Source organism: Homo sapiens, chromosome 5 (assembly GCF_000001405.40).
Source record: "Homo sapiens chromosome 5, GRCh38.p14 Primary Assembly".
Taxonomy (NCBI): domain Eukaryota; kingdom Metazoa; phylum Chordata; class Mammalia; order Primates; family Hominidae; genus Homo; species Homo sapiens.
Window position 1 is genome coordinate 50,140,693 of NC_000005.10, and position 8,773 is coordinate 50,149,465.

Here is an 8,773-nt window from a genome sequence, read left to right on the forward strand (position 1 = left end):
AGATTCTGAGAATATTTCTGTCTAGTTTTTATTAGAAGATATTCCCGTTTCCACCAAAGGACACAAAGCGAAGCCAATTATCCGCTTGCAGATCTTACAAAAACACGTTTCAAAACTGCTCTATCAAAGGAAAGGTTCATCTCTCTGGGTTCAACGCACACATCACAAAGAAGTTTCTGAGAATGCTTCTGGCTAGTTTGTGTGTGAAGATATTCCCATTTCCAACAAAGGCTTCAAAGCGCTCCAAAGATTCACCTGCAATTGTTCAAAAGAGTGTTTCAAAACTGTTCTATCAAAAGAAAGGTTCAACTCTGTGAGTTGAATGCACGCTTCACATAAATGTTTCCGAGAATGCTTCTTTCTAGTTTTTGTGTGAAGATATTTCCTTCTCCACCATAGCCCTCAAAGCGCTCCAAGTGTCCGCTGGCAGATTCCACAGAAACAGTGTTTCAAAAGTGCTCTAACAAAAGAAAGATTCAACTCCGTGATTTGAATGCACACATCACAAAGCATTTTCTGTGAATGCTTCCGTCTAGTTTTTATATGAGGATATTTCATTTTCTACCATGGGCATCAAAGCGTTCCAATTATCCCATTGTAGATTGCACAAACAGAGTGTTTCAAAACTGCTTCATGAAAAGGAAGATTCAAATTTGGGAGTAGAATGCACACATCACGGAGAAGTTTCTGAGAATGCTTCTGTCTAGTTTATATGTGAAGATATTCCCATTTCCAGCAAAGGTCTCAAAGCGGTCCAAATATCCACTTGCGGATCCCACAAACAGAGTGTTTCAAAACTGCTCTACGGAAAGGTATGTTCAACTCTGTGAGTTTACTGTAAACATCCTAAAGAAGTTTCTGAGAATGCTGCTGTCTAGTTTAATGTGAATATATTTTCTTTTCCGCCATAGCCCTCAAAGAGCTCCAAATATCCACTTTCAGATTCTACAGAGTGTTTCAAAACTGCTCTATCAAAAAAAAGTTTCAAATCGGTGAGTCGAATGCACATATCACAAAGCAGTTTCTGAGAATGCTTTCGTCTATTTTTCCCAGGAAGATATTTCCTTTTTGACAATAGGCCTCAAATCGCTCCAGATATCCACATGCAGATTCTAGAAAAAGAGTGTTTCCAAACTGCCCTATCAAAAGGAAGGTTCAACTCTGGTAGTTGAATGCAAACATCACAAAGAAGTTTCTCAGAATGCTTCTGTCTAGTTGTTATAGGCAGATATTTCTTTTTCTACCATAGGCCACAAAGCGCTCCAAATATCTACTTGCAGATTCTCCAAAAACAGTGTTTCAAAACTGCTCCATAAAAAGGAAGGTTCAACTCTGTGAGTTGAATGGACAGATCACAAAGAAGTTTCTGAGAATGCTTCTGTCTAGTGTTTATGTGAAGATATTCCCGTTTCCGATGAAGGCCTCAGAGCAGTCCAAATATCCACTTGCAGATTCTATAAAAATAGTGTTTCAAAACTACTCTATGGAAAGGTATGTTCAACACTGTGAGATGAATGCAAACGTCATAAAGAAGTTGCTGAGAATGCTTCAGTCTAGTTTCTATGGGAAGACATTTCCTTTTGCACCACAGCCCTTAATGCACTCCAAATGTCTACATGCAGATTCGATAAAAGAGTTTTTCAAAACTGCTCTATCTAAAGAAAGGTTCAACGCTGTGAGTTGAATCTACATATCACAAAAAAGTTTCTGAGAATGCCTCTATCTACTTTTTGTGTGAAGATATTCCGGTTTCCAACGAAGGCCTCAAAGCGCTCCAAATATCTACTTGCAGATTCTAGAAAAAGAGTGTTTCAAAACTGCTCTATTAAAGGAAGGTTCAACTCTGTGAGTTGAATTCACACATCACAAAGAACTTTCTGACAATGCTTCTATCTAGTTTTTATGTGAAGATATTACTGTTTCCTATGAAGGCCTCAAAGTGGTCCGAATATCCACTTGCAGATTCTACAAAAAGAGGTTTGCAAAACTGCTCTATGAAGAGGTATGTTCACCTCTGTGAGTTGAATGCAAACATCACAAAGCAGTTTCTGAGAATGCTTCTGTCTAGTTTTTAGGGGAATATATTTCCATTGGCACAATAACCCTCAAAGCGCTCCAAATATCCACTGGCAGATTCTACCAAAAGAGTCTTTCAAAACTGCTCTGTGAAAAGAAATGTTCAACTGTGTTAGTTGAATGCCCACATCACAAAGAAGATTCTGAGAATATTTCTGTCTAGTTTTTATTAGAAGATATTCCCGTTTCCACCAAAGGACACAACGCGAAGCCAATTATCCGCTTGCAGATGTTAGAAAAACACGTTTCAAAACAGCTCTATCAAAGGAAAGGTTCATCTCTCTGGGTTCAACGCACACATCACAAAGAAGTTTCTGAGAATGCTTCTGGCTAGTTTGTGTGTGAATATATTCCTATTTCCAACAAAGGCTTCAAAGCGCTCCAAAGATTCACCTGCAATTGTTCAAAAGAGTGTTTCAAAACTGTTCTGTGAAAAGAAATGTTCAACTGTGTTAGTTGAATGCCCACATCACAAAGAAGATTCTGAGAATATTTCTGTCTAGATTTTATTAGAAGATATTCCCGTTTCCACCAAAGGACACAAAGCGAAGCCAATTATCCGCTTGCAGATCTTACAAAAACACGTTTCAAAACTGCTCTATCAAAGGAAAGTTTCATCTCTCTGGGTTCAACGCACACATCACAAAGAAGTTTCTGAGAATGCTTCTGGCTAGTTTGTGTGTGAAGATATTCCCATTTCCAACAAAGCCTTCAAAGCGCTCCAAAGATTCACCTGCAATTGTTCAAAAGAGTGTTTCAAAACTGTTCTATCAAAAGAAAGGTTCAACTCTGTGAGTTGAATGCACGCTTCACATAAATGTTTCCGAGAATGCTTCTTTCTAGTTTTTATGTGAAGATATTTCCTTCTCCACCATAGCCCTCAAAGCGCTCCAAGTGTCCGCTGGCAGATTCCACAGAAACAGTGTTTCAAAACTGCTCTAACAAAAGAAAGATTCAACTCCGTGATTTGAATGCACACATCAAAAAGCATTTTCTGTGAATGCTTCCGTCTAGTTTTTATATGAGGATATTTCATTTTCTACCATGGGCATCAAAGGGTTCCAATTATCCAATTGTAGATTGCACAAATAGAGTGTTTCAAAACTGCTCTAATAAAAGAAAGATTCAACTCCGTGATTTGAATGCACACATCACAAAGCATTTTCTGTGAATCCTTCTGTCTAGTTTTTATATGAGGATATTTCCTTTTCTACCATGGGCATCAAAGCGTTCCAATTATCCCATTGTAGATTGCACAAATAGAGTGTTTCAAAACTGCTTCATGAAAAGGAAGATTCAAATTTGGGGGTAGAATGCACACATCACGAAGAAGTTTCTGAGAATGCTTCTGTCTAGTTTATATGTGAAGATATTCCCATTTCCAGCATAGGTCTCAAAGCGGTCCAAATATCCACTTGCGGATCCCACAAACAGAGTGTTTCAAAACTGCTCTATGGAAAGGTATGTTCAACTCTGTGAGTTTACTGCAAACATCCTAAAGAAGTTTCTGAGAATGCTGCTGTCTAGTTTAATGTGAATATATTTTCTTTTCCGCCATAGCCCTCAAAGAGCTCCAAATATGCACTTTCAGAATCTATAGAGTTTTTCAAAACTGCTCTATCAAAAAAAAAGTTTCAACTCGGTGAGTCGAATGCACATATCACAAAGCAGTTTCTGAGAATGCTTTCGTCTATTTTTCCCAGGAAGATATTTCCTTTTTGACCGTAGGCCTCAAATCGCTCCAGATATCCACATGCAGATTCTACAAAAAGAGTGTTTCCAAACTGCCCTATCAAAAGGAAGGTTCAACTCTGGTAGTTGAATGCAAACATCACAAAGAAGTTTCTCAGAATGCTTCTGTCTAGTTTTTAGAGGTAGATATTCCTTTTTCTACCATAGGCCTCAAATCTCTCCAAATATCCACTTGCAGATTCTCCAAAAACAGTGTTTCAAAACTGCTCCATAAAAAGGAAGTTTCAACTCTGTGAGTTGAATGGACAGATCACAAAGAAGTTTCTGAGAATGCTTCTGTCTAGTGTTTATGTGAAGATATTGCCGTTTCCGATGAAGGCCTCAAAGCAGTCCAAATATCCACTTGCAGATTCTACAAAAATAGTGTTTCAAAACTACTCTATGGAAAGGTATGTTCAACACTGTGAGATGAATGCAAACGTCACAAAGAAGTTGCTGAGAATGCTTCAGTCTAGTTTCTATGGGAAGACATTTCCTTTTGCACCACAGCCCTCAAAGCACTCCAAATGTCTACTTGCAGATTCGATAAAAGAGTTTTTCAAAACTGCTCTATCAAAAGAAAGGTTCAACGCTGTGAGTTGAATCTACATATCACAAAAAAGTTTCTGAGAATGCCTCTATCTACTTTTTATGTGAAGATATTCCAGTTTCCAACGAAGGCCTCAAAGCGCTCCAAATATCTACTTGCAGATTCTAGAAAAAGAGTGTTTCAAAACTGCTCTATTAAAGGAAGGTTCAACTCTGTGAGTTGAATTCACACATCACAAAGAACTTTCTGACAATACTTCTATCTAGTTTTTATGTGAAGATATTACTGTTTCCTATGAAGACCTCAAAGTGGTCCGAATATCCACTTATAGATTCTACAAAAAGAGGTTTTCAAAACTGCTCTATGAAGAGGTATGTTCACCTCTGTGAGTTGAATGCAAACATCACAAAGCAGTTTCTGAGAATGCTTCTGTCTAGATTTTAGGGGAAGATATTTCCGTTGGCACTATAGCTTTCAAAGCGCTCCAAATATCCACTGGCAGATTCTACCAAAAGAGTCTTTCAAAACTGCTCTGTGAAAAGAAATGTTCAACGTTGTTAGTTGAATGCCCACATCACAAAGAAGATTCTGAGAATATTTCTGTCTAGTTTTTATTAGAAGATATTCCCGTTTCCACCAAAGGACACAACGCGAAGCCAATTATCCGCTTGCAGATCTTACAAAAACACGTTTCAAAACTGCTCTATCAAAGGAAAGGTTCATCTCTCTGGGTTCAAAGTACCCTCTGGCTCGGAGGGTCCTATGCCCTTGGAGTATCGCTGATTTCTAGCACAGCAGTCTGAAATCAAACTGCAATGTGGCAGCGAGGCTGGGGGATGGTCACCTGGCATAGCCCAGTCGTGCTTAGGTAAAGAAAGCAACTGGGAAGCACGAACTGGGGGGAGACCACCATAGCTCAAAGGGACCTGCATTCCTGTATAGACTCCACCTCTGGGGGTAAGGCACAGACAAACAAAAGACAGCAGTAACCTCTGCAGACTTACATGTCCCTGTCTGACAGCTTTGAAGAGAGCAGTTCTTCTCCCAGCATGCAGCTGCAGATCTGATAATCGGCAGACTGGACTCCTCAAGTGATTCCCTGACCCTGGACCCCCAGGCAGCCTAACTGGGAGGCATCCCCCAGTAGGGGCAGACTGAAACCTCACACTACCGGATACTCCTCTGAGACAAAACTTCGGGAGGAACAATCAGACAGCAGCATATTTGGTTCACAAAAATCTGCTGTTCTGCAGCCACCGCTGCTGATACTCAGACAAACAGGGTCTGGAGTGGACCTCAAGCAAACTTCAACAGACATGCAGCTGAGGGTCCTGTCTGTTAGAAGGAAAACTAACAAATAGAAAGGACATCCACACCAAAAATCCATATGTACATCACCATCATCAAGGACCAAAAGTAGATAAAACCACAAAGATGGGGAAAAAACAGAGCAGAAAAACTGGACACTGATAAAAGCAGAATGCCTCTCCTTCTCCAAAGGATCACAGTTCCTCACCAGCAACAGAGCAAAGCTGGATGGAGAATGTCTTTGATGAGTTGAGAGAAGAAGGCTTCAGATGATCAAACTACTCCAAGCTACAGGAGGAAATTCAAACCAAAGGCAAAGCAGTTAAAAACTTTGAAAAAAATTTAGACGAATGTATAAATAGAATAAGCAATACAGAGAAGTGCTTAAAGGAGCTGAAGGGGCAGAAAACCAAGGCTCGAGAATTATGTGAAGAATGCAGAAGCCTCAGGAGCCAATGTGATCCACTGGAAGAAAGGGTATCAGTGATGGAAGATGAAATGAATGAAATGAAGTGAGAAGGGAAGTTTAGAGAAAAAATAATAAAAAGAAACAAACAAAGCCTCCAAGAAATATGGGACTATGTGAAAAGACCAAATCTGCGTCTGATTGGTGTACCTGACAGTGACCAGGAGAATGGAACCAAGTTGGAAAACACTCTGCAGGATATTATCCAGGAGAGCTTCCCCAATCTAGCAAGGCAGGCTGACATTCACATTCAGGAAATACAGAGAATGCCACAAAGATACTCCTCGAGAAGGGCAACTCCAAGACAAATAATTGTCAGATTCACAAAAGTTGAAATGAAGGAAAAAATATTAAGGGCAGCCAGAGAGAAAGGTCGGGTTACCCACAAAGGGAAGTCCATCAGAATAACAGCGGATCGTTTGGCAGAAACTCTACAAGCCAGAGGATAGTGGGGACCAATATTCAACATTTTTTTTTTTTTTTGAGACGGAGTCTCACTCTGTCTCCCAGTCTGGAGCATGGGGGAGCGATCTGGGCTCACTGCAAGCTCCACCTCCTAGGTTCATGGCATTCTCCTGCCTCAGCCTCCCGAGTAGCTGGTATACAGGCACCCGCCACCAAGCCCTGTAAATTTTTTGTATATTTAGTAGTGACAGGGTTTTACCATGTTAGCCAGGATGGTCTCAATCTCCTGACCTCGTGATACACCCGCCTTTGTCTCCCAAGTGCTGGGATTACAGGCGTGAGCCACTGTGCCTGGCCAAAATTCTTAAAGAAAATAATTTTCAACCCAGAATTTCACATCCAGCCAAACTAAGCTTCATAATGAAGGATAAATAAAATATTTTACAGACAAGCAAATGCTGAGAGATTTTGTCACCACCAGGCCTGCCCTAGAAGAGCTCCTGAAGGAAGCACTAAACATGGAAAGCAACAACCAGTACCAGCTGCTTCAAAATCACACCAAAATGTAAAGACCATGGAGACTAGGAAGAAACTGCATCAACTAACGAGCAAAATAACTAGCTAACATCAGAATGACAGGATCAAATTCACACATAACAATATTAACTTTAAATGTAAATGGACTAAGTGCTCCAATTAAAAGACACAGACTGGCAAATTGGATAAAGAGACAAGACCCATCAGTGTGCTGTATTCAGGGAACCCATCTCATGTGCAGAGACACACATAGGCTCAAAATAAAAGGATGGAGGAAGATCTACCAAGCAAATGGAAAACAAAAAAGGCAGGGGTTGCAATCCTAGTCTGTGATAAAACAGACTTTAAGCCAATAAAGATCCAAAGAGACCAAGAAGGCCATTACATAATGGTAAAGGGATCAATTCAACAAGAAGAGCTAACTATCCTAAATATATATGCAACCAATACAGCAGCACCCAGATTCATGAAGCAAGTTATGAGTGAACTACAAGAGACTTAGACTCCCACACATTAATAATGGGAGACTTTAACACCCCACTGTCAACAATAGACAGATCATTGAGACAGAAAGTTAACAGGGATATCCAGGAATTGAACTTGGCTCTGCACCAAGTGACCTAATGGACATCTAAAGGACTCTCCACCACAAATCAACAGAATATACTTTTCCTTCAGCACCACACCACACTTATTCCAAAATTGACCACATACTTGGAAGTAAAGCTCTCCTCAGCAAATGTAAAAGAACAGAAATTATAACAAATTGTCTCTCAGACCACGGTGCAAACAAACTAGAACTCAGGATTAAGAAACTCACTCAAAACTGCTCAACTAAATGGAAACTGAGCAACCTGCGCCTGAATGACTACTGGGTACATAGCGAAATGAAGGCAGAAATAAAGATGTTCTTTGAAACCAACGAGAACAAAGACACAACATACCAGAATCTCTGGGACACATTCAAAGCAGTGTGTAGATGGAAATTTACAACACTAAATGCCCACAAGAGAAAGCAGGAAAGATCCAAAATAGACACCCTAACAACACAATTAAAAGAACTAAAAAAGCAAGAATAAATACATTCAAAAGCTAGCAGAAGGCAAGACATAACTAAAATCAGAGCAGAACTGAAGGAAATAGAGACACAAAAAGCCATTCAAAAAATTAATGAATTGAGGAGCTGGTTTTTTGAAAGGATCAACAAAATTGACAGACCACTAACAAGACTAATAAAGAAGAAAAGAGAGAAGAATCACATAGATGTAATAAAAAATGATAAAGGGGATATCACCACCGATCCCACAGAAATACAAGCTACCATCAGAGAATACTACAAATATTTCTATGCAAATAAACTAGAAAATCTAGAAGAAATTGACAAATTCCTCGACACATACACCCTCCCAACACTAAACCAGGAAGAAGTTGAATCTCTGAATACACCAATAACAGGCTCTGAAATTGTGGCGATAATCAATAGCTTACCAACCAAAAAGAGTGCAGGACCAGATGGATTCACAGCCGAATTCTACCAGAGGTAAAAGGAGGAACTGGTACCATTCCTTCTGAAACTATTCCAATCAATAGAAAAAGAGGGAATCCTCCCTAACTCATTTTATGAGGCCAGCATCATCCTGATACCAAAGCCAGGCAGAGACACAACCAAAAAAGAGAACTTTAGACCAATATAGTTGAAG

The 8,773-nt window shown here is 39.8% G+C and overlaps 1 annotated feature.

Moving 5' to 3' along the window:
• Positions 215 to 1,054: an enhancer, noted in NCBI's record as "OCT4-NANOG-H3K27ac-H3K4me1 hESC enhancer chr5:49436741-49437580 (GRCh37/hg19 assembly coordinates)". NCBI's record gives its function as "activates a minimal SCP1, AML or CMV promoter by ChIP-STARR-seq in naive H9 embryonic stem cells {active_cell/tissue: H9 hESC(naive)}" and the evidence as "EXISTENCE:reporter gene assay evidence [ECO:0000049][PMID:30033119]".